General features: G+C 49.5%; 1 protein-coding gene across 1 annotated transcript in view, besides 3 other annotated features; it reads right to left on the bottom strand.

Moving 5' to 3' along the window:
- Nucleotides 1-26,302, bottom strand: part of DLGAP2 (DLG associated protein 2) — a 970,849-nt gene that overhangs the window by 510,800 nt on the left and 433,747 nt on the right. The gene's annotated exons all lie outside the window — the stretch shown is intronic.
- Nucleotides 2,821-3,326: an enhancer, noted in NCBI's record as "H3K4me1 hESC enhancer chr8:1144351-1144856 (GRCh37/hg19 assembly coordinates)". NCBI's record gives its function as "activates a minimal SCP1, AML or CMV promoter by ChIP-STARR-seq in naive H9 embryonic stem cells {active_cell/tissue: H9 hESC(naive)}" and the evidence as "EXISTENCE:reporter gene assay evidence [ECO:0000049][PMID:30033119]".
- Nucleotides 3,327-3,833: an enhancer, noted in NCBI's record as "H3K4me1 hESC enhancer chr8:1143844-1144350 (GRCh37/hg19 assembly coordinates)". NCBI's record gives its function as "activates a minimal SCP1, AML or CMV promoter by ChIP-STARR-seq in naive H9 embryonic stem cells {active_cell/tissue: H9 hESC(naive)}" and the evidence as "EXISTENCE:reporter gene assay evidence [ECO:0000049][PMID:30033119]".
- Nucleotides 9,286-10,485: an enhancer, noted in NCBI's record as "P300/CBP strongly-dependent group 1 enhancer chr8:1137192-1138391 (GRCh37/hg19 assembly coordinates)". NCBI's record gives its function as "activates an origin of replication core promoter dependent on BRD2, BRD4, P300/CBP, MED14 and CDK7 cofactors, with strong dependence on P300/CBP, by STARR-seq in HCT116 cells {active_cell/tissue: HCT116}" and the evidence as "EXISTENCE:reporter gene assay evidence [ECO:0000049][PMID:35650434]".

Genomic DNA, 26,302 nt, shown 5'->3' with positions numbered 1-26,302 from the left:
AGCTGGTGGCCCAGATGCTCCACATTGGCGTGGCTCAGGTTTATATGGACAGCTGGTGGCCCAGATGCTCCACATTGGCTTCGCTCAGGTTTAGGTGGACAGCTGGTGGCCTGGATGCTACATGTTGGTGTAGCTCAGGTTTATGTAGACAGCTGGTGGCCCAGCTGCTCCGCATCCATGTGGCTTAGCTTTATGGAACATAAACAGTGCTTGACCCTGGGCTATGAAGTAGCCCTTTTTCTACAGCATTTTCTATCCAGGGCCTTTGTCTTGGTTTGGGTTCCCCGGAAAGAAAAGGCTCAGGTATTGAGACAAGGGCTCAGGTACTGAGCAGAAGAGGAGGGAGGGTGTCGTGGTGAATTCTGTGTCAGCATGGACAGGGATAAGTGATAGCCAGGTAACTGGTGAAACATGACTTCCGGGTGTGTCTGTGATGGCATTTCCAGAAGAGACCTGAAGTGGACTCTGCAATGTGGGAACATGACTTCCGTGTGTGTCTGTGACGGCGTTTCCAGAAGAGACCTGCACTGGACTCTGCAATGCGGGTGTGCATCCTCCAATCCACTGAGGGCCCAGGAAGAACAAAAAGGTGGAGAAAGGAGAATTTGTTCCTTCTTCTTGGGCGAGGCCTCCATCTCCTCCTGACCACAGACATTGCCCACCCCGATTTTCAGGCCTTCAAACGCAGACTTAATCACACCTCTGGCTTCCCTGGGTCTCCAGCTTGTGGATGGACAATAGTGGGACCTCTCAGCCCCCATAATCACAGCGACCAATTCCCATAATAAATCCCCTCTTGCCTGTCTGTATATATCCTGTCAGTCTCACTTTTCGGGAGAACCCTGGTGTATGTGTGATGAGCAGTTACCGCCCCTGGCTCATCACTGCTGCAGCTGACATGCAGCCGTCCAAGCCAGGAGGCACAGGCTCCTACTGCAGCTACTGGAGCCCCACTGACAACGTGCGGCTGCTTGGGAAATCATGGCAGATGGCACTACCTTTCCTGACATATGTGGTTTTCAAATTACTCTTTTCATCTCAGAGATACCCCCCTCGACCTGCAGATGCCTCTGCACAAGTGCTGTTGGTGATGACAGCCACTTTTTTGTCATTATTCTTTTGCTTATCAGCTGAGAAACTCCATGCTATGAAAATCACAGACGACTTGTTCCAGCTCAGGCTTGAAACGTGAGGAAAGCACGAATATTTCCTTCGGGGGCACAGGATCACTGTCTCGTTCACTCACTCAGCATTAACATCACACACCTATCTGGCTTCTCCCCTGTGTTAGCCCCTGTGCTGACACCTGGGGATGGGGGAAAGACAGGTACACTCCAAACAGGAGAATTTCATGGTGCTTGGGAAATAGTTGTCACTGCAGTGTGTGGACACAAATGCTTTACTCTATGCAGATGCATTTACACACACACAGTGAAACGTGGCCTACTTCTAAAAGAATTGAAGGATATTTTACCAAACAAAACACATAACATGAAAGTAGGGTCTTTAACAGGTGAGCACTACTACAACAAGCAGTTAAGTGGATCAGGAAAAAATGTGACGGGGCCCTGGATATCGGTGATGCCTAAGTTATGACACAGCTTTCCAGGTTGTGGCCTCAGTTTCATTTTTCTCTACGTCATGGCTATTTGAGAGAAGCTTAACTCTGCTCACGAACGTGAGCATCCCCACAGCTGCCCAGTGTGACAATCCAAACATGGAGGTAACTATTAATTAAGTTGAAACAAAATATTCTTGCACTTTGTGGGAGAATTAGAAATGCTAAAAACTTCGGTTAAGAAAAATGACCCTCATTTGGAAGCGTTTTCGCAGAACGTATCTACCGCTGCAAGGCCTCGGAGCAGGTCACGCACTCCGGGGAACGCGCCACACGGTCAGCTCCTGGGTGAGCAACGATGGTGATGCGATTATCTGTGTAACTAAAATTAAACAAACGTTCTGACATACAACACACGCCCCTAATGCCTGATAAGACGTCCATAAACAAAAAAGAAGAGAATCCTTTGGAAGATAATTTTTTAATAATTACAGAAATTTTTACATAAGAATTAGATGTTTTATGAGTGAATTAAGAATTATATGTTTTTAAAAGACTATTTTTAGGAAGGTACCAAGTAATTGGATAGGCAGCAAGCATTTTTCCAAGTGGGGAAACAATTGTTTTCTCAGTAGTGCTTTCTGAAAACAGTTTTCTGTCCTGGTTCACTGTGCAGCCTGTTTCCCATTTAAAAACACTTCACCATGTTTTTCATTAATAACACATATATCCTCCGTCTCTGACCTGTCGGTGGCTGCGTGCATCTGGCCAGGCCTCCATGCCTGGTAGACAGCCCTGACTTCAGGCTCTGCTCCTGAGGGTGCAGGGAAGCCAGTTCTAACTGGGTGCTTGGCCAGCGGGAGGCAGAACTGGGAGGCCTGTCCTGGACACCAGCAGCCCCAGTCCCAGCTGGGATGACCATGGGGCACCTTCCTGACACCCTCGTCTCTTCAGATGTTCACTGTTCTGACGCCTTTGCGACCAGGGGCAGTCTAATCTCCACCTGCTGCAGCCATGAGGATGCCGGGGGCCTGGAAAGAGCTTGAGCACTCATGCTGGGGCGGACGCCTCTGAAACGAACAAAGTGTGCCCAAGCTTCTCAGGAGAGCAGGGCACGAGGAATGAAGGCCGGGAGAGCGGAGGGGGTGCAGCCCTATGCTGGGACAGCCCTGACTGTCCGTTGGTAGTTGACAACTGAACGCCCAGGTGGTCTCAGCAGCAAAGCGTGAGCACCAAGCACAGACACAGCCCTAGAGTCTGAGACTGAGCGAAGAACCCTGGCCACACACGTCACAGTGGTGGCCTCAAGCCAGAGAGGACGATAAGAGACTTCTGTAGGGAACAGAGGGTTCCAAACTTCAGGTCTAATGAAGCTCATCGGGCCCAGGGACTCTCCACAGCCGCCCAGGACACCTGAAGCAGCTCCGGGACGACCCTGTGGTCAGGTGAGTTTCCCAAAGCAGCAGCCCCAACACGTTCCTATAGCAAGGACTCGGCTTCCAGAATCTTCCCTGCTGAACAGGCAGGCGTGGGTGCTTGAGGGCTTCCTGACTGGTCCTGAACTCTGCATGTGATGGAGAATTTCTTCACATCACAAGGAGTGACCCAGAGGGACCCCTGGGGATGACCTGGAAAGTGGGACTGAGGGAAGCTCTGCCGTCCTCCCCACCTGGAGGCCGCCCTGGGCAGGAGGAGCCTCCAGCTCTGCCTAGACACGGTGAGCATGGTGCCCTTATGTGGGCCGGCCGCCAACCGACCACTGACTGTCTGCCAGGCATCCGGGCTCCCTCCACCAGCCGGGACGCGGCACTGCCAACGTCTGCTTGTCTCTTGCAGGTTCACTCTCAAAATCGCAGAGCCTGTGTTTCCAACTTGCCAGCAGCTGAGCTCCTCCTGAGTCGGGCTGAGAACAAGGCGTGGCCTCCCACAGGCGGCAGTTTCTTCTTTAAAATTCCCCCGCCCCTCAAGGGTAGGGACTGTGTCTTACTCACTTTATCTAATTTTCCACAGCGTCAAAACTGGACTTGGTATACTGCGGCATCCCAGTTCACACCTGTCACGTTGACTTGAATGTCACAGTACGTGGATTTGGTCCCGGTAATGCCAAGGAGAAATTTCACCTGAGGCTTCAGATACTACGACTTCCTTCCCGTCAAGCTCTCAGCAAAGACCTTAAATTACTGAGAACGAAAACGTCCCTCCAGCGGCTCCTCCTGGCTGGGGACAGGAGGCGGGGGCGGCGCGGTGCGGAGGCTCTAGAGGCCGACGCTGGGATCTGCCCCACCCGGATGCTGTCTGGGGGTCTCAGGTGCTGGCTGCAGGGGGCATGGTGCGGAGGCTCTAGAGGCCGAGACTGGGATCTGCTCCACAGGACCCCCAACCCGGATGCTGTCCGGGAGTCTCAGGTGCAGAGAGGGCCAGCCACGCGAGACTCAGGTGGCTTCAATGGGATCGTTCACAGAAACAGCCGTGCCAGGGAAGCAACCTAAGTATCCACCAGCGGACACACAGATAATGGGGTGGTGTGTGGACACAGCAGCGTATATCCAGCTTTAAACAAGAAGCAAACCCTGCCATCTGTGGATTTCAGCGTGAATGAGCCCTGAACGCATGGTGCTAAGTGACAGAAACCAGACACTTCTCAAAAGAAGACATTTATGTAGCCAAAAGACACATGAAAAAATGCTCATCATCACTGGCCATCAGACAAATGCAAATCAAAACCACAATGAGATACCATCTCAGACCAGTTAGAATGGCGATCATTAAAAAGCCAGGAAACAACAGGTGCTGGAGAGGATGTGGAGAAATGGGAACACTTTTACACTGTTGGTGGGACAGTAAACTGGTTCAACCATTGTGGAAGACGGTGTGGCGATTCCTCAAGGATCTAGAACTAGAAATACCATTTGACCCAGCAATCCCATTACCGGTTATATACCCAAAGGATTATAAATCATGCTGCTATAAAGACACATGCACACGTATGTTTATAGCGGCACTATTCACCATAGCAAAGACTTGGAAGCAACCCAAATGTCCAACAATGATAGACTGGATTAAGAAAATGTGGCACATATACACCATGGAATACTATGCAGCCATAAAAATTGATAAGTTCATGTCCTTTGTAAGGACATGGATGAAGCTGGAAACCATCATTCTCAGCAAACTATCACAAGGACAAAAAACCAAACACCGCATGTTCTCACTCATAGGTGGGAAGTGAACAATGAAATCACTTGGACACAGGAAGGGGAGCATCACACACCAGGGCCTGTTGTGGGGTGGGGGGAGTGGGGAGGGATAGCTTTAGGAGATATACCTAATGTTAAATGAGGAGTTAATGGGTGCAGCACACCAACATGGCACATGTTTCCATATGTAACTAACCTGCACATTGTGCACACGTACCCTAAAACTTAAAGTATAATAATAATTAAAAAAAAAAAAAAGAAACCAGATACATAAAGCCAAGCACCCCAGAGCTCACTCACTGACATGATGCATCCAAGACACTCAGACTCGTGGGAGTGGAGAGGGAGGGCGGGGCTGGGGACAGACTTGAGAGAGGCTGGACAAAGGGCATGAGATTTCAGACAGACGGAGGAGCAGGTTTAAGAGCTCTATTGCTCATCACGGTGACTGCAGTTCATAGCAACACATCATATTCTAGAAAATCACTGACAGTGGATTTCATTGTTCTCACCGCAAAAAAGTGAGGTGATCCATCTGTTAATCAGCTTGATCGAGCTATTCCGCAAGGTATTCACAATGCAAAGCATCATATTCTACACCATAAATATATACTTTTGTCACTTAAAATTAATAAGCGTAAATAAGTACTTGAAAACAAGGGCTAAACCCATTGCCCAGCTCAGCTGGCACCTGCTTCATGGCCCTGGCTGTGGTTGATCATAGCAACAGAAGCATCTGGACAGCCCCACCCACAGCTCCAAGCCCAGCCCATCACGGCAGCCAGTTTCATCACGTACGAGAGGAGAAAGCCATCTAGAAAGTGCAGGGGCCACGCACACCTCAAATCCATCTCAGAGAGCCCTGGGAGGCTGGCAGCGGCTACGAATGTCCAGTCATACAAGGTAACCGGAACTCACAGCCCCATGCTGTGATTTTGAGATGTTAAGTTTTGAAGTCATTGCTACACATGCACATGAGAAAACAATGGCCGTAGTTGAGGGATCAGTGAGCTTCATGCTCAGAGGGGCCAACTGCACCAAGAATAAAGGCGCTTCCTATTGACTGTAATGTGAACACGTAATATCAGCTTAAAGGCATATCTTATATAATACGGTTTATTTCTATACAATTGAATTTCAAGGTAAAGGACCCCTGGAAGAAGGAAAATACATAAAAATAGGAGGGTAAAGTGTGATCAGAGGTGGAAATTAAAGAGTTAGTTGCAATGAGCTCAAGTTCCTTCTTGATTTCTAATGTTTTGAAGCTTTGTCTGCTCATTGCAACAGAGAACGGACCCAGATACGGCGCGTTGTGGCTGCCTGTCTTGTTCTATGTAAGAAGTGCAGAGGGCGGATTTTCAGAATTAATTTCAAGAGATAACACTTTCTACTTCTTGTTTTACTTAGTACTTTAGACAGGATTGTAGAATTTTCTTATAGATAAAACGTATCGGCTGGGCGCGGTGGCTCACGCCTATAATCCCCGCACTTTGGGAGGCTGAGGCGGGCAGATCACAAGGTCAGGAGATCAAGACCATCCTGGCTAACACGGTGAAATCCCGTCTCTACCAAAAATACAAAAAATTAGCCGGGCGTGGTGGCGGGTGCCTGTAGTCCCAGCTACTCGGGAGGCTGAGGCAGGAGAATGGCCTGAACCCGGGAGGTGGAGCTGCAGTGAGCCGAGATCGCGCCACTGTACTCCAGCCTGGGTGACAGAGTGAGATTCCGTCTCAAAAAAAAAAAAAAAATGTATCTACTTATATTGAAACACTTAGTTACAAGAAATTTATTCACAAAATGTATTGCAAGACATCCCACGTAAATAAATCAAACACTTCAAAGCTTCAGAACCCAGCCTCTCCCCGTGGGATGTGGCAGGGTCATCCTGGACCTGCTGGACTCAGGTCCCTTAGCTCCCCTGACCATGAGGAATTGGTCCAAGCCTCACCCACCCCCCTCGCTGCGCTGCTGGGGATGTCGCACCATGGGACGGCTTCCATAGGAGAAGCATGGTGCATAAACACGCCCCGTGCACTGAACGGCCACAGACCCCACGCTTGCTGCTGCGTGCGCCTGGAGCCTGGGCTCTGGTCTTGGGTCTGCCCCCTACAGACCCCACGCCTTGCTGCTGCGTGCACCTGGAACCTGGGCTCTAGTCATGGGTCTGCCCCTGGTGTAAGGACCTTCATTGAGGCAGGTGACCTCTGGCCCTGGCTTTCTTCTTCTCTACGTAAGACACGGGGTTGGGAGGATGAGGATAAGCCTCCCAGCCAACCACACACTCACAACCTCGCACAGTCACCAAACAGCTGTTTTGGCTCTCAATGCTGATTGCGACAGGCGGCTCGCAGTGCCCTGTGAGATGAGAAGCAAGGACGGGGCGGCCAGAGGCGTCGAACGGGACGGGTGCCTCCTGCATGAGATGCTGCCGGGAAAGATTGCCCGGCACCAAGTGTCAGTGTCACAGGGGAGCGACTCCAACAGCAGATGCCCCAACAGCAGATGCCCCAACAGCAGATGCCCCGACCCTGACTCTCGCCACTCCAAGCACATAACTGCCAACTAACACAGGCCTCAGCATCACATTTCTATTTCACCGAGCCACGTGAAAGGCAACAGAGGAGATGGAGGGCACGTTGGTGCCATAAACCACAGCAAGTGGGGAGTGCCGTGGACTTGGAGGACTCTCTGTGAGACCACCAGAATCTGGAAGAGGTCTGGGTCTGAGCATTAGGGCAACATGGAATCTATTTATCTAAAGTGCAATCCATAACTCAACTCAGGCCCTACAAAGTGCAGTTGTTTATTATTAGCAGTAAGAGTCCAGAGGGCACTTCCCTCAAGGAGCAGAAAACCAGAGCCCGTAATTAGCCTGCCAACTCTCAGTGAATAAAGGAGGGCCTTTAAACTCCAGAAAACGGGGGTTCTCCTTTTAATGGTGTTAAGAATTTGCTGCAATCTCATTCACCCTACTTGGCTTTTCCTAGGATTTTCACCTCCTTTCCTGGCACCCAAAGCCGTGAGTTACCCTCCCCCATCACCTCTGTGATTTTCCTTAATCTCCGCCTCCTGCCTGCTGGAGCAGCCCCTTCTTGCCCTCAGGGGGACCCCTCCTGCAGCCCTCCCGCTTATGGAAGTGGCCCAGGCAGGCGGCTGTATCTGCCGTGTCCTGAACACAAATGCCTATTGGATAACTCGAGCTCGCTTCATATTACAAACTGTAAACTTCCTGAGGGGAAAACTCGGCCCTGTCATTGATCCATCCCGTTTCCAGGCATGGGGATGTCACACGTCAACTGCTAAACGTGCTTGAATGACAAAAAATACTGTTTCTACACAATAAAAGGTAGAGTTTAAGCTGGTCTTTCCCTAACCAAATGCTGTGAATTCATAATCCTTAAAGTGTAAACTTGAGTTACTCTACACTAGTTGCTTGAGTGGATAAAAGAAGGTCTGGTTTAAACGTCTCTTGGTGGTGACCACTCCTCTTCCAAATGCTTCTGACATGGTAACTGCACTCCAGATGGTTCAGTGTCTTAATGTTATTTAGGGACCAGGTTGACCTATCTTCCTGCTGGATGTGTGACTCCTACGATGGGCTCCTGGGTCTCCCGCCCTTGCAGTTGGCCTTGACACTGAGCGACAGTGACTCCCGCTGGGGCCCGAACCCTGTGTATGCTCAACCCCAACCGCGGAACCGGCCTGGGGCCCAAATCCTGTGTAAGGTCAACCCCAACCGCGGAATCGGCCTGGGGCCCGAACCCTGTGTATGCTCAACCCCAACAGCGGAACCGCCATGGGGCCCGAACCCTGTGTAAGGTCAACCCCAACCGCGGAACCGGCCTGGGGCCCGAACCCTGTGTATGCTCAACCCCAACAGCGGAACCGCCATGGGGCCCGAACCCTGTGTAAGGTCAACCCCAACCGCGGAACCGGCCTGGGGCCCGAACCCTGTGTACGGTCAACCCCAACCGCGGAACCGGCCTGGAAGCCGCACCACAAGGCAACCTGTGTGAGGAGAAGATGTGGCATCATATATATTTGGAGGTGCTTTTTTAACTTTTTGGAGTGACAAGTCATTGTTTCCTAAAAAAAGGCACATCCTGAGGACGCAGCAGGTGGTCACCCCAAAGCTTTTGTTCAGCGTGTAACAGGAAATGTCTTTCCAGACGCTGACATCTCAGACTCTGTACTCATGATTACTGTTCATCTGCTTGCCAAAAAGAGAAGCAACATCTCTTCCTGCCCCCGGAGTGCTGGGCGGATGAGTCGCTGTTCTATTGGGAGGAGCTGTGAGATTCCGTGAGGCAAATGTCACGGACGTCCCGGGTGTGTGAGATTCCGTGAGGGAAACATCACGGAGATCCCGGGCGTCTGAGATTCCGTGAGGGAAACGTCACAGAGGTCCCGGGCGTGTGAGATTCCGTGAGGGAAACGTCACGGAAGTCCCGGGCGTGCGAGATTCCGTGAGGGAAACGTCACGGAGGTCCCGGGCGTGCGCGATTCTGTGAGGCAAATGTCATGGAGGTCCCGGGTGTGTGAGATTCCGTGAGGCAAACGTCACGGAGGTCCCGGGTGTGTGAGATTCCGTGAGGGAAACGTCACGGAAGTCCCGGGCGTGTGAGATTCTGTGAGGCAAACGTCACAGAGGTCCCGGGCGTGTGAGATTCCGTGAGGGAAACGTCACGGAAGTCCCGGGCGTGTGAGATTCCGTGAGGGAAACGTCACAGAGGTCCCGGGCGTGTGAGATTCCGTGAGGGAAACGTCACGGAAGTCCCGGGCGTGCGAGATTCCGTGAGGCAAATGTCACGGAGGTCCCGGGTGTGTGAGATTCCATGAGGCAAACGTCACGGAGGTCCCGGGTGTGTGAGATTCCGTGAGGGAAACATCACGGAAGTCCCGGGCGTGTGAGATTCCGTGAGGCAAACGTCACAGAGGTCCCAGGCGTTTGAGATTCCGTGAGGGAAACGTCACGGAAGTCCCGGGCGTGCAAGATTCCGTGAGGCAAATGTCACGGAGGTCCCGGGCGTGTGAGATTCCGTGAGGCAAACGTCACGGGGGTCCCGGGTGTGTGAGATTCCGTGAGGGAAACATCACGGAAGTCCCGGGCGTGTGAGATTCCATGAGGCAAACGTCACAGAGGTCCCGGGCGTGTGAGATTCCGTGAGGGAAACGTCACGGAAGTCTCGGGCGTGTGAGATTCCGTGAGGGAAACGTCACAGAGGTCCTGGGCGTGTGAGGGAAATGTCACAGAGGTCCCGGGCACGTGAGATTCCATGAGACAAACGTCACGGAGGTCCTGGGTGTGTGAGATTCCGTGAGGGAAACGTCACGGAGGTCCCGGGCGTGCGAGATTCCGTGAGGCAAACGTCACGGAGGTCCCGGGTGTGTGAGATTCCGTGAAGCAAACGTCACGGAGGTCCCGGGTGTGTGAGATTCCGTGAGGCAAATGTCACGGAGGTCCCGGGTGTGTGAGATTCCGTGAGGCAAACGTCACGGAGGTCCCGGGCGTGTGACATTCCGTGAGGGAAACGTCACGGAGGTCCCGGGCGTGTGAGATTCCGTGAGGGAAACGTCACAGAGGTCCTGGGCGTGTGAGGGAAATGTCACAGAGGTCCCGGGCATGTGAGATTCCATGAGACAAACGTCACAGAGGTCCCGTGTGTGTGAGATTCCATGAGGCAAACGTCACGGAGGTCCCGTGTGAAATTCCGTGAGGGAAATGTCACAGAGGTCCCAGGTGTTGTGACTATTGCCCCCATTGTTAAATTGCAGTCAATATGTAGCCAGTGCTATTTTGGCAACTGACAATCATCTTTGAACGTATTGATGCATCTCCAAGCAGCTGCTCAGAACAGCCCTTCCATGGGATTCTGGGGCCTGGGAAAGGCCCACGACCGCCACCTGCACTGAGGCCGGGCTTAGATTGTTCAATTAACGGGTGTGATGGAAACATGTGGAAAACAAGGCTCCTGGATTTTCCTTCTGCCCCACACAATTTCCCAAATACCTGTTTAAGGGATATGGGGTGGATGCGGTAGGGCAGACGTGGGGGCATGTGAAGGTGAGTGAGAAGAGCAGGAAGAAGACAAAAAGGCAAAGCCAAGCCAGGCACTCCTGCAGGTGGCTTCCATGAACCTCCAGACACGTCCAAGCTCCTTAGAGCCAGGGGAGGCGACGACGTGAAATTATCCCACAGATATTCACAACAGAATATCAGCTCAGAAAGGCCCCCCAGTCCCAACCTCCATGACAAAAAGGGAATGGTCATATCCCACAGATACTCACAACGGAGTGGAGTATCAGCTCAGAAGACACCGCACCCCCCACCTCCATGACAAAAAGGGAATGGCCGTAATAACATCTCTCAGGGTTATCAGGACGCTTAGAGAGGATAAGGCGCCTGGAAGTCACTGCAGTCACTGACAGCCTTGTTGATGGGTACTCGCTGGCTTAGGGCGTGAAGCAACTGAACTCGCTGCACAGCGGGCTGGAGAGGAGGCCTGGGAACTGTCCCCCACCCGTTTCTCTGCCTGGTCACAGTTTTGCTGCTGGCAGATTCTATGTCGATGCTGGTTAGAATAAGGAGGAAATAATTTTATGAACTGCCTTAATGGTGAGTACGCTGGATCTGCCCCCAAGGTTCGCAGATGCTCGGCCCTCTAGTAACTCCAGCATAGCTGCTGCTAGGGCACCTACCACAGACTGCAGCGCTGCCCTCGGTGCCACCGACCCATCGCAATCCTGGCACCAATGTTCACAAAACCTTCTGCCCGCAGACAAGGGCGCAAAGCGAGAAGCACCTTGGCGAGGCCACCGAGTGGGGAGGTGGCCCGGGCAGGATTCGACCCTGGGGCTGTCTCCAGAGCCCGCATTGCCACACTCCAAACCTGACTCACTCATGAACACAGGGACAGGGCAAGGAAGCTGGCCTGGTTAATACTTCCTGGAGGGAGGTGACAGGAGGCCCCGAGATCATGGAACTCCGAGGCGAGAAGTCCTTGGCAGAAGGGAACCTGCTTCTCAGTTCCGGAGTGTTCTCTGTGGGGCAAGTTGGGCGTCACTGCTGATTGGATCTCCTGAATGTGTGTTTGTGTTTAAAGCTAGATTACATTGTTCTTCCACCAGCCTTGGTTCCTACTGCACTGCTGACTGGATCTCCTGAATGTGTGTGAGTGTGTGTGTGTGAGTGTGAGTGTGTGTGTGTGTGTGAGTGTGAGTGTGTGTGTTTACAGCTAGTTTACATTGTTCTTCCACTAGCCTTGGTTTCTACTGCTTTTGGAATTGTGTGGTCCTTTTTACATTTTCTTTTTTACCATTTTGCATGATGGAATTAGCGAGTCAATAAATGACTAGTGGATGTTAGGATGTTTTGTGGAATGATGGTATGACGGTTCCTAGGAGCTTGATCAAACAACCCCACATCCAAAAATTCCTCCTTTTAGTCAATTTCAGCATCCTACTTGCATCTTAAACCATTCTATCTCATCCCAGAGGCAAAGCTGACCGGCCTTAGGGGTCACCTTGTACCTGCAGATGGCCCTGAAAGTGCCCTGGAGACAACACCTGATTCCAGGATGACGTCAGCAGAATGATGGTGTCACTCAGCCCGAGGCTTATGTCCATTGCACCACAGCCCTGAAGTTTGACAAAGAAACTCTCAGAGCCCCCATTATATCGGGCTAGAAAATACAGGAAAACCACCTTTCTGTGGAGCCCTGGAGAGGAACAAATGGAATAAAAATGAACAGCATTCGCCCGGCACGTGTTCAACAGTTATGCCGTCGCCACCAGTGCCAGGGTGCTCCTCTGCCCCAACACCCCAAGAGAGGCCGCAAGACGCAGAACCCTCGCCCGACCTTTCCTGGGAAACGAGTCACTTCACCATCCCCCGTCCCCCGGGTCAGACCCTTCAACAGCTCCCCACACTCCTGCTCTAAAGTCTGAGCTCCCTAGCAAACCTGGGTCTGAAATCTGCCTCTTCTGCACCAGGTTATATGATTTGGGGCAAGTGAGTCACCTTTGCAACACAGTGAGCTCCCTCCAACCTGGAGATCCTTAACTGGCATGGAGATTATAAGGCCAAGGCGTGCAACGTGCGCAGAGCACTTAGCCCAGGCCTGGAGAGGGCCAGATTCACCAACCAGTCATCGTCACCAGCATGCTTGCCTCCCGGTGGCCTCACCCTCCTCCCAGGCTACAGCTGCCCTGAGCCTCCTCCTGCTCCCTAACCACACCCCACTGTTTCCCGCAAACTCCGAGGGTGCTGCCTGCTGAAAACGACCTTGCACTCCAGCCCCAGGCTCGGCATCTGCCTGGGAAATCTCTACTAGTTTAAGATGCAGGTCGACCACCCGTTCTGTGGTCACTAGAATTCGCAGTGATGATTTCCCTCCAACTGCCCTGAGAACAGCGCGTGCACCCCGGGTACCCACTGGCTCCCAGAGAAGAATGGCCTCAGCCTCTTCTGCCCGTCTCCTTCACACGGGATGCTTCCAGCATTAAACTGTTACCAAGAGAAGAAAGGAAGACATGAGCTTGCGGACAGCCGCTCCCCAGAAGCGCCCACACTCCAGTCTGCGTTTCGGACGCATCTCCCACTACTGAGCACCTGTGTACACTTTCACCAAGTTTCATGTCTTGAAATAATAAATCACAAATGCTTCATATTTTAGTATATGTTCTCTTTAGTGCAACTTAAATTTTAACCTTTTAAATGGCTTGCTCTCTATGGTTTTAGAATGAGGCATGACGGTTGCATAAAAGAGACCGCTGTGCAACTTGGAGACATCAAGTGGCTTTAAACACAATGCAAACACGCTGCTTCCCCAAACACAACGCAAACACACTGCTTCCCCAAAGCCTTTCAGCTGTCTGAGTTCTATGACCATCATATAATATTAACAGTGATCATGGTGAAAAGCTACAGAAATGTTTTTATTGGCCAAATATCATTTTTACATATATTACTTTAATGTAATAATCACGCAATGATTAAATGCTATTATTCCTATTTGATAAATAGACAAAGGCTCAGAGACCTTAAATAATTTACCCAGGGTGCACACCTGCTGAATGGAGGCAGTACGTTCTCTGCCTGAAGGCTTGCAAAGGGTGTTCCGTACTCTGCAGCTTCGTTTAGAATTATGATTCAAAAAGAGCAGACATTCATTAATAAAGATGCCTCGGACCAGGAGGCGGTGATAACAGAAATGAGGACTGGGGTGGAAGCAGCCTTCTCTGCCCTGTCTCCTGGGCTCCACCGCCTGCCCTGTGGACTTACTCAAGCCAGGAGCGGTGCCTCCCTCGCAAACCTCCGCCTCTGTGGCCCCGGGCAGCATGTGCAACATGGTGAGGATACTAACAGCAGCTACCTCATAGGCTGCTGTGATTAACAAATCAGTAAGGATATTTCCAGGGCTTGGAACCCTTCCTGACAAGTAAACATTTGCAATGACTCTTAGCAGTGCATTCTATAGATCAGTAATGTCAACTAACTAGATCAAATATCAATATCAGAAAACACACTTGCACACACCAAGCACTGCCACATCTATAATCTAAAAGTAAATAATTGCTAGGCTAATTACAAATTGGCTGTTTTCCCATGTAGTTATTTTATTTATTGTGTGAACTGATATTATTCTGGAGTCTCCCCTTCCGTGAACCTCCATGTCTGTCACATTCTCCTCCCCTCCACGCCAGGACCCCGCTCCGAGACGCCCTCTCGGCTCCATCCTAGATCCTGGCTGCTGTGTCCTTACCTAGCTCCTTGTTTCCCTGCCCCACCCACAAGGCATCTCGAGGGAATCGAACGTGAATGCATTTGTGTCATCCCAGCTCTTACCGAAAGCACTCCAGTAGGTCCCGCTGCTGGGTGAGTAAATCTCACGTTCCCCGCACTGGCAGTGACACACTTCCAGGAACTGGCCCCAGCTCGCTCGAATGTCTACCTTCCACCGGCTCCATGGTGCGCGTCTCCCACCCATGCCACCGCAGGGCTGTGCGCTCACTGCATCCTGAGTGCCCCTGAGCCCCGCTCCACCTCACTGGATGCTGCCGATCCCACAGGCTGCGGAGTCCGTCCCCCACGCGCCACTGCCCAGAGTTGCCGACCCGTGGACTCTCCCTTCCTGCCTCTCACATGCGCGCTGGACTCGATAGTGTGAGCTCTGCAGAATGTGCTGGAGCTCCGTGTCTCAGGGCAGCGCAGACGTGATGGCAGGGCAGACTCAGTGACCTACGGCAGCTCAATGCCCAACTCACCACGCAGAGGTCACAGAAGGACAGGCAACAACTGCCAAAAGCACTCATTTCCTAGTGACACAATTCTGTTAGGGCCACAAGTGCCAACTCTAAATCCAGCCACCCAGCATCTCACATAGACATCACACGTGTGAGCATTAAATGCACGCTCATTTCCTAGTGACACAATTCTGTTAGGGCTACGAGAATTCAGCAACCCACATCTCATGCAGACATCACACGTGTGAGCATTAAATGCACGCTCAGGTCCTACTGATACAATTCTGTTGGGGTCACAAGGGCCAACTCTCAGTCCAGCCACCTGGCATCCCACACGGATGTTGTGTGTGTGAGCACTGCCACAGTCAAGGGACCTCAGGTGAACACAGCTTTGCCCTTTTCTCCATTTGTCCAAAACAGGAACATGGCAGTCGCCCCCAAGCCCCTGTTGGGAACGCACAGTGGTTTCTGCCCTGCTTAGAGCACCGTGACTGAGATGCCCCGTGCAAACGAAGTGGCAGCCACACATGACTCGCCACCTCAGGAACAGAACACGGAGGAGACGCTGTTGTGAGCTGAAGATCAGCTCCTTAGCAAGACCCATCTATCAGGCACATGGCTCTTACGCACTGCAGCACAGAGGCTGCAACCTCCCACGTCAGCTTCTGGAAACCACAGCTCCACTTCACCTTCTGCCTCAACTATCTGCTGTATCTATGTTCACCTAAAATGTTATTGTCTATCAACGGTTCACAGACAAGGAACAGGAGAAATGCGTCCTGGGATTGCAGGGACGATGGCAAAGTCCTCTCCAGGGGGTGCCGTGCAGGGAGGAAGGTGGTACCTGTCACTCATAGCCTTCTGCGTGGGTGCCTCCTCCCGGGGTCTCCATCCATCAATCCCTAGCCCAGCCTGGGGAGCACGGGGCTGCTTTTGCTTCAGTATTGCAAATTTACATTCTTCCCATCGTTTGTTCATTTCTTATTTAACTTTAAAGTTCAGGGGTAAATGGGCAGGTTTGTTTTAGAAGTAAACTTGGGTCGTGGGGGCTTATTGTATAGATTATTTCACCCCCCAGGTATTAAGCCTAGTACCCATTAGTTAATTCCTGATCCTCTCCCTTCTCCCACCCTCAACCCGGCCCCACTGTGTATGTTGTCCCTCTCGGTGCCTGTCAGTTCTCCTCATTCAGCTCCACTTAGAGGTGAGAATACTATGCAGCCACTAAAAAGAATGAGATCACGTGCCCTGCAGGAACATGGATGGAGCTGGAGGCCATTATCCTTAGCAATCTAACACAGGGACAGAAAACACTCTTCCCATTGTTAAAGATCAAACAGTGCACTCAAGCTTTAATTTTTCTACAGACCACGAAACACGTTAAGTGTACTGCCCTTGCACACGATGTGTGCCACCCACACTCGACAGTAAGTGTACTGCCCTTGCACAGCCACCCACACTCGACAGTAAGTGTACTGCCCTTGCACAGCCACCCACACTCGACAGTAAGTGTACTGCCCTTGCACAGCCACCCACACTCGACAGTAAGTGACTGCCCTTGCACAGCCACCCACACTCGACAGTAAGTGACTGCCCTTGCACAGCCACCCACACTCGACAGTAAGTGTACTGCCCTTGCACAGCCACCCACACTCGACAGTAAGTGTACTGCCCTTGCACAGCCACCCACACTCGACAGTAAGTGTACTGCCCTTGCACAGCCACCCACACTCGACAGTAAGTGTACTGCCCTTGCACAGCCACCCACACTCGACAGTAAGTGTACTGCCCTTACACACAACATGCACCACATTCGACGGTAAGTGTACTGCCCTTGCACAGGACGTGCACCACACACACTCAACGGTAAGTGTACTGCCCTTGCACACCCACACACACTCGACAGTAACTGTACTGCCCTGGCACACCCACACAGACTCAATGGTAAGTGTGCTGCCCTTGCACACCCACACACACTCGACGGTAATTGTACTGCCCTGGCACACCCAGTCGACGGTAAGCATACTGCCCTTGCACACTGACACGCTTGATGGTGTGCTGCCCTCACACACCCACACACACTCGACAGTGTGCTGCCATTGCACACGATGTGTGCCACACGCACTGGTTCTTGTGTGAAATTACAACAGATAATCCATGGTGATGCAACACAGAAGACTAAGAGCTGGGCACGGTGGCTCCTGCCTGAGATCCCAGGCACACGGGCCTGAAGCAGAGGACTGCTTGAGCTCAAGACCAGGCTGGGCAACATTGTGAGGCCCCTTCTCAAAAATGATAATAAATGAATCAAAGAAATCAGAAGCGTGCTTCTGGTGGCCAGGGTGTAACTGGGATTTGGCAGGAGGGAACGCTCTGCAGTGTGGAAGAGTTCCACGTCTGACTGGCATGTGGGTTACATGGACATATGTGTAGCTAGAATCTGGGCACTTCACTGTAAGTTATAAGTCAATTAAAAAACAAATCTGGCTTTATCAGAAAAAAGTGTAATTTACGTCCTCAGTTTGGAAAAGGAGGAAGTTCACGTCACTGTGAAGGCACATCCATTTTTACTTATTTATTGAATGTTATGGAATTGATACAACATGAACATTCAACAATTCTTTGCCAGTGCTTCTCCATTCAAATAAAAAAATTATGTGTTCACTTTAACTGGCTAGTATAAAACACCAAGTATTTTAATTGCATTTACTCAAACAAGCATCCAATCTTTATTTCTAAAGGCACGGTTTAATTTCCCATCTACTCGTTATTTTGTTTTCACATAATTATTTGTACACTTTAGCTACTGTTATATACTGAATATCTTTCAGTCTATTCTTAGCAATCACTGGGTATAAATGTAAGGGTATGCCGTGAACCCTAAAATATTTTTATTCTCTAGTTCAAAATTTTGTACTCCCATTTATATTTCATAAAAATATTATAGCTGTGTAACTGTATATTAAGGTGGCCCCTGATATTCCAGGGTCGCTTAATATATGTTTAAAACACAAATTAGGATTGCAATACACATAGAAAAACAGCTTTATTTAAAACTGCATGCAAAGGCAACTTGGAGAGTTAATTTAATTACACAGTGCCAAATTAATTCCACCGTCTTGAGTAAAAGGAAACTTGGAGAGAGGTGGAAGCCTCATCCCAGCAGCCAGGTGCCTGTGGGGCAGCCACGTCTCTTGCAGAGCCTGCTGGGGACGCTCCTGAAGGTGTGGACAGCAGGGAGCTGAGCCTTCCCAGAAAGCTGGCAGCACAAGTGTCCATCGACTGCACAGTCAGAGTCCCCCAGCGAAGCACTCCCTCCACCCACAGCCTCAGCTGGTGCCTGGCCACCTTGGCACAGGCGAAAATGGGGGGTGGGGGAATGAGAGAGCTGAGTGCTCACCCACCCCCACTCTGCATCTAAGGCCTCTGAAATACTCAGCCATCCCATCTCCCAAATTGCAAAGTGGAGAAAAACAACAGGCTTTGCCATTTACTTTCTTTGGGCACTTGAGGGATTAAAGAAATTAAGTCCCTGAAACACTCCAGGCACTTTGGTATCGTAAACAGGTGTAGAAAAGTCACTTGATGCTTCTTTTAAAGCCTGTTTAAGTGTGCACATGCTCTTAAAACTCAACCCCTTATAGAAGCTGGGAGTTTTACAGCAGGGGCTCGAAATTAATCTGTAGGGACCTAAAGCTGGTGAACTGGAGACGAGACCAGGGCGGCGTGGGCCCCAGGTGCAGAGGCCGGTGTGCCCAGGCTGAAGGGGCAATGGTGTGGGGCAGGGGGGCTCCTAACTGAAAGAGCAGTTGCAGCTGAATCACACCCACACCCTCTTGTGAGAAACCAGGGTGGACAGATGCTGGCGGTGGGCACAGCTGACCTGGGTCTTCCCTGGAATTGGCAGAGAATCATTGCAGGTAAGACTGTCTCTGAGCCAAAGGGGAAGAAAAGCACTGCCCAGCAGTTGCTAAAACTTCTACATTTTGTGCACTTCCCAAAATCCATTCAAGGTGGGTTTGAGAGCTGAGCTGCATTTATACTTCAGAATCTGGGCAAAATTAAGTAGGAGCTAAGCTTACCTAAAAAAAAGAGAGATGTCTAACTTTGCCTAAAAAGGTGCCTTTCGTTAAATCCCAGTTGAAACCAAGTGCTGTGTTTGTCAACGTTACTTGATATTTATGTTCAGCTGTTTTAATAAGGACGTCTATTATTATAGCAGAAGCAGGACAGAAACACAGAGTGAGTGGGGGCACCAACCCCCAAATCCATTAAGGAAGCCTTAGGAACTCCCTCAACCACTGCCACCGCCACTGCTGCCGCCCCTCCGCAACCCCGGCCAGCAGACACTCTCTCCAAGCGCAGGTCTTGCCCAAATGAGAAAAGAACAATTCACAGCCCTCTAACCTCACCCACCAAATGCTATCACGTGGTAACTCCATAAATCATCTCTGGGACATTACCTGCTTATGCACATTTAACTACTATCTTCCTGAATTTAACATTTCCCTGCCTTCAGGCAGTCCTCCGGGGGTCCCTAGTTCTCTCCAAGGCCTTGGATTCTGGGGTAATGACTCTGACACCACCAGCTCAGGTCCCAGAGCACCGTGTCCCATGAGCTGAGAGGCACCAACCACCACTGGCCATGGCCGAATCCCTTCACCACCACTGGCCACGGCCACAGCCCTTCACCGGGAGATGCTGTGTTGGAGATGTCGATCACTGAGGCCTCAGCTGGTGCTTCCTGAAGGCTTTGCTGGCCGGAATGCATCTCCCTGAAATTCATATGCTGAAAGGGAGCCCCCACAGTGGTGGTATTATGAGGTGGGGCCCTTGGGAGATGATGAGGTAAGAGGCCCTGGAGAGCTCCCTCACCCCTTGTACCCTGTGAGGGCACAGCAGGTGTGGTCTACACACCAGGAAGCAGCCCTCACCAGACATCGAACCTGCTGGCATCTCAATCTCAGACTTCCAGCCTCTAGAACTGTGAGAAATAAACTTCTATTATTTATAAATGACCTAGTGTGGGGTATTTGTGACAGCTGCCCAAATGGACTAAGACAGGCTTTGCCTATTTTCTCTGAGGTTGAAATGTAATGAAATAAAAGTCATCTAAGAGTAAAGACACAAACAAATGAAGCAACACAATCGCAAGCCAGAACAATGGTGCTAATATCTGACATCAACACCATGCATTCAGAATCGGGTCTCGTGCATCTGCTCCGGTGTGCCCAAAGATGGTGGGAAAGTCAGGAGGCCTCCTGACAACAGATGGCAGAACTCGGGCCAGGAGACCACACATTTTTCGATCTGGTAAACCTGATAAAACAGCCAGGCTTATGATATAATGCCTCTCCTGAGCAAAAAATACTCCAAGAACATACGGAGAAAAGATAAATAAATATGGGCAATGGCAAGGGATCTAAAATAAAGCACAATCACAGGACACAAGACAAACCGCATAGCTGAACTGCAAGAAAAGATGTAAGGGCCCCAGCAAAGTTCTTCATTCATGGGGTGCTGGGCGTGCGTGCGTCCACTCGAAGGCTGGGACTTTTAGACCACGTATAACAGGTTAGACCATGTTGACTATATTGTTATAATATGCCAAAGAAAGTATAATTTTTTGAAGTGTTAATGCGACATCAACGATGATCTCAAGGACTGACTTTTCCCAGTTTCCAGAGCCTGGCCACCGCTTGTGTGAACCGTGACTTGCTTGCTCAGTTCCCAGAATTGTGCTGCTTTGCTGCCATGGCATGAAAGGCAGGTCCTGTCTGAGTTGGTGACATATCTAGTCCTTGGCTCTCTCTGCTACTCCATGAGAGGGTGGAAAGAAGCCAGAGGGTGTGTTGAGAGAATGTGACCACCAGGCCTGCCTCCAACCGAGACCTCTTTCCACAGGGACCCAGTGACCATCTCTTCTGGACCAGCAGACGGGGCTGCACCTGAGTGCACAACAGGCAGCATGGCAGACGGAGCCCTGGGCTGCCTCCCTGGTGACCTTCACCTTCCTGCCCTCTCGCCCAGCCTCCAACTTCTTCCCCGTCAACCCCACAAGGAAACACGACCCCTGTCGTGCACTGGATTGAGATGGGTGGGACCTGAGCATGAACAACGTCAATAAACCAGTTAAATTCACAGGGCGGCTGTGAGGGCAGGATCTCCAAGTGTAGTTCCTTCTGGCTGTAATGCTCGTGACTACATTCATCGTTCTACATCTCATGTAAATACTCAGAACAAACACCCAAAGTGTAGATCTAACGGAGCTCACAGAAACTCTGGTGATATGGTTTGGCTCTGTGTCCCCACCCAAATCTCACCTCGAACTGTAATCCCCATGTGTGGAGCGAGGAACCTGAGGAAAGTGTCTGGATCACAGGGACGGTTTTCCCCATGCTATTCTTGTGGTAATGAGGGAATTCTCACGAGGTCTGATGGTTTGAAAGTGGCAGCATTTCCCACACTGTCTCTCACCTACCGCCATGTAACACGTGCCTTGCTTCCCCTTCATCTTCCACCACAATTGTAAGTTTCCTGAGGCCTCTCCAGCCATGTGGAACTGTGAGTCAGTTAAACCTCTTTTGTTTATAAATTACCCAGTTTCAGGTAGTATTTTTATGCAGTGTATGAATGGGCTTATCCATCTGGGAAGATGGACCAGTCAATATTTATCGGGCGGATGGTATGACATAGGCCCTGTGCCAGCTCCCACATCTGCGAATCGCTTTGTCCTCACTTTGCAGATGGCAAAGCCGAGAGGGAGGATGCGACCTCCCCATGGCTATGTGGATAATAAACAACGGGCACAGGGTTTTAATCTAGGTTTGTGTAAATCCAATGCCGAGTGCCTTCCTCTATACTACATGCCCAAATAAGTATTAAGATTTACTTTCCCGATGAGGTATAGGGTGAATGACAAAGATCTAGTTATTCATTCACACAGAGCAGGTCAAGAATTGAGCTCTTAAAGGTGCTGATATCTAACCCCTAAAAGTTTGACAAAACCAAGCCATGGCAAAACACAAGGGATGTATTTATTCCAACACCCTCCAAATTTCTCAGAGACAGACTGGCATTTAGTCATGTTCCTACTGTCCTAATGGAGTCGCATATAGAGCTAGAACACAATGTTCTCCCTTCCACTGACAGCCTCAATGAAACATGATAAACAACTTTTATTAGCCCAAGTACATATATTAGTGATCAAATTATGCTTTTATAATAGTTTCCTTTTTATAAATGAAGGCTATTTTAGTCACAACTATGATGGTAATGTAATTTTTACAGCTAATGATATTCTTCTGGACTCTTTTAGATTAGATGTGCTACAGAGATTCACAGAAAACTAAGCCCACACGTACATGTATTGATCTTCCCCATGAAATGCACTATTGGGCTAAATTTAACACACTTCTTAGGTTTTTTTTTTAAAATCAAGCATGTGAAGACATTTCTGTGCTCACTGCGGGTTACTAGTTAGTAATTTTATGGCCATAGCAGAAATGTCATCAGATAAATTTTAACATTTAACAAAATAGATTCTTCCAGATCTGAAGACAGAAGGTAGCAAAAAAGTGTGGGAAGGGGAATCCTAGAATAATTTTATTGGAAAACTAAATTTAGTTTTGAGTTCCATCCAAACTCTCTCCTGTCATCTGACTACTTTTATAGGGAAATATCTAATTTTCATTCTTGGGGGAACTAGAAAGGGGAATTAATTTTCTTATCATCATAAGAAGGGTGATGAACAACATAAGCTCTCTCAGAGCTGCCTCCTGCCTGTCTCACCTTCTTTCCCTCACTCACTTAGGATTTTGTAAACATAGATAAACAGAACTCAGCTGCTATAGTCTAGATGATGGTAATGATGGAGGTAGTGATAATGATGGTGGTGATGATGACAATGATGATAGTGATAGTAATGATGATAATGATTTTGGTCATGGTAATGATGGTGGTGATGGTGATAGTGGTGGTGATGGTAATGATGATGGTGGTGATGGTGATGATGACAATGATGGTAAAGACGACGATGATGATGGTGGCAGTAATAATGATTTTGGTGATGTAATGATGATGACGACAATGATGGTAATGGTGGTGGTGATGGTAATAATGACTTTGGTGATGGTAATGATGATAATGATTTTGGTGATGGTGATAATGACTTTGATGATGGTAATGATGATGATGATGGTAATGGTAATGATGACGATAATGATTTTGGTGATGGCAATGATGGTGGTAATGGTAATGATAATGATTTTGGTGATGGTAATGATGATGGTGGTAATGGTAATGATAATGATTTTGGTGATGGTAATGATGGTGGTAATGGTAATGATGATAATGATTTTGGTAATGGTAATGACGGTGGTGATGATGGTGGTGATGATGGTGGTGATGGTGGTGATGGGTATGTGGGTAGACTTATCACATTCCCTGCAGAATAGCAATTTTTCTGTTTTTCCTTCTTCCTTAGAATCCTGGAAAATGTACCTAATTCCTAACTCACCCTTCAATACCCAGTTCCAGCCCGACTTAGATCTCCCCTAAGCCCTGAGCCCTCTGTCACTGTTTAACACTGCTCCCATGACCCCTACAACAGCCCAGGCATAGCTGTGTCATGAACAATGGGATCGAGCGGAGGAGCCAAGATGGCCAAATAGGAATAGCTCCAGTCTACAGCTCCCAGCGTGAGCGACACAGAAGACGGTGATTTCTGCATTTCCATCTGAGGTACCAGGTTCATCTCACTAGGGAGTGCCAGAGGTGGGCGCAGGTCAGTGGGTGCGTGCACCGTGCGGGAGCCGAAGCAGGGCGACGCATTGCCTCACTCAGGAAGCGCAATGGGTCAGAGAGTTCCCTTTCCTAGTCAAAGAAAGGGGTGACAGACGGCACCTGGAAAATCGGGTCACTCCTACCCGAATACTGTGCTTTTTCCGATGGGCTTAAAAAATGGCGCACCAGGAGATTATATCCTGCACCTGGCTCAGAGGGTCCTACGCCCATAACGTCTTGCTGATTGCTAGCACAGCAGTCTAAGATCAAACTAGGCGGCAGGGAGGCTGGGGGAGGGGCGCCCACCATTGCCCAGGCTTGCTTAGGTAAACAAAGCAACCGGGAAGCTCCAACTGGGTGGAGCCCACCACAGCTCAAGGAGGCCTGCCTGCCTCTGTAGGCTACACCTCTGGGGGCAGGGCACAGACAAACAAAAAGACAGCAGTAGCCTCTGCAGACTTAAATGTCCCTGTCTGACAGCTTTGAAGAGAGCAGTGGTTCTCCTAGCACACAGCTGGAGATCTGAGAACGGGCAGACTGCCTCCTCAAGTGGGTCTCTGACCCCTGACCCCTGAGCAGCCTAACTGGAGGCACCCCCCAGTAGGGGCAGACTGACACCTCACGTGGCCGGGTACTCCTCTGAGACAAAACTTCCAGAAGAACGATCAGGCAGCAGCATTCGCGGTTCACGAAAAACCACTGTTCTGCGGACACCGCTGCCGATACCCAGGCAAACTGGGTCTGGAGTGGACCTCTAGCAAACTCCAACAGACCTGCAGCTGAGGGTCCTGTCTCTTAGAAGGAAAACTAACAAACAGAAAGGACATCCACACCAAAAACCCATCTGTACATCACCATCATCAAAGACCAAAAGTAGATAAAACCACAAAGATGGGGAAAAAACAGAGCAGAAAAAATGGAAACTCTAAAAAGCAGAGCACCTCTCCTCCTCCAAAGCATCACAGTTCCTCACCAGCAATCGAACAAAGCTGGACGGAGAATGACTTTGACGAGATGAGAGAAGAAGGGTTCAGACGATCAAACTACGAGCTACAGGAGGAAATTCAAACCATAGGCAAAGAAGTTAAAAACTTTGAAAAAAATTTAGAAGAATGTATAACTAGAATAACCAATACAGAGAAGTGCTTAAAGGAGCTGATGGAGCTGAAAGCCAAGGCTCGGGAACTATGTGAAGAATGCAGAAGCCCCAGGAGCCGATGTGATCAACTGGAAGAAAGGGTATCAGCGATGGAAGATGAAATGAATGAAATGAAGTGAGAAGGGAAGTTTAGAGAAAAAAGAATAAAAAGAAACGAACAAAGCCTCCAAGAAATATGGGACTATGTGAAAAGACCAAATCTACGTCTGATTGGTGCACCTGAAAGTGACAGGGAGAACAGAACCAAGTTGGAAAACACTCTGCAGGATATTATCCAGGAGAACTTCCCCAATCTAGCAAGGCAGGCCAACATTCAGATTCAGGAAATACAGAGAACGCCACAAAGCTACTCCTCGAGAAGAGCAACTCCAAGACACATAATGGTCAGATTCACCAAAGTGGAAATGAAGGAAAAAATGTTAAGGAGAGCCAGAGAGAAAGGTCGGGTTACCCACAAAGGGAAGCCCATCAGACTAACAGCTGATCTCTAGGCAGAAACTCTACAAGCCAGAAGAGAGTGGGGGCCAATATTCAACATTCTTAAAGAAAAGAATTTTCAACCCAGAATTTCATATCCAGCCAAACTAAGCTTCATAAGTGAAGGAGAAATAAAATACTTTACAGACAAGCAAATGCTGAGAGATTTTGTCACCACCAGGCCTGCCCTAAAAGAGCTCCTGAAGGAAGCACTAAACATGAAAAGGAACAACCAGTACCAGCCACTGCAAAATCATGCCAAAATGTAAAGACCATCCAGACTAGGAAGAAACTGCATCAACTAACGAGCAAAATAAACAGCTAACATCATAATGACAGGATCAAATTCACACATAACAATATTAACTTTAAATGTACATGGACTAAATGCTCCAATTAAAAGACACAGACTGGCAAATTGGATAAAGAGTCAAGACCCATCAGTGTGTTATATTCAGGAAACCCATCTCACGTGCAGAGACACATATAGGCTCAAAATAAAAGGATGGAGGAAGATCTACCAAGCCAATGGAAAACAAAAAAAGGCAGGGGTTGCAATCCTAGTCTCTGATAAAACAGATTTTAAACCAACAAAGATCAAAGTTGACAAAGAAGGCCATTACATAATGGTAAAGGGATCAATTCAACAAGAAGAGCTAAGTATCCTAAATATATATGCACCCAATACAGGAGCACCCAGATTCATAAAGCAAGTCCTGAGTGACCTACAAAGAGACTTAGACTCCCACACATTAATAATGGGAGACTTTAATACCCCACTGTCACCATTAGACAGATCAATGAGACAGAAAGTCAACAAGGATACCCAGGAACTGAACTCAGCTCTGCGCCAAGCGGACCTAATAGACATCTACAGAACTC

The sequence above is a fragment of the Homo sapiens genome, chromosome 8 (genome assembly GCF_000001405.40).
Source record: "Homo sapiens chromosome 8, GRCh38.p14 Primary Assembly".
Taxonomy (NCBI): Eukaryota; Metazoa; Chordata; class Mammalia; order Primates; family Hominidae; genus Homo; species Homo sapiens.
The sequence above is the reverse complement of the archived record's forward strand: the minus strand, read 5'-3'. Positions and strand labels throughout refer to the sequence as shown.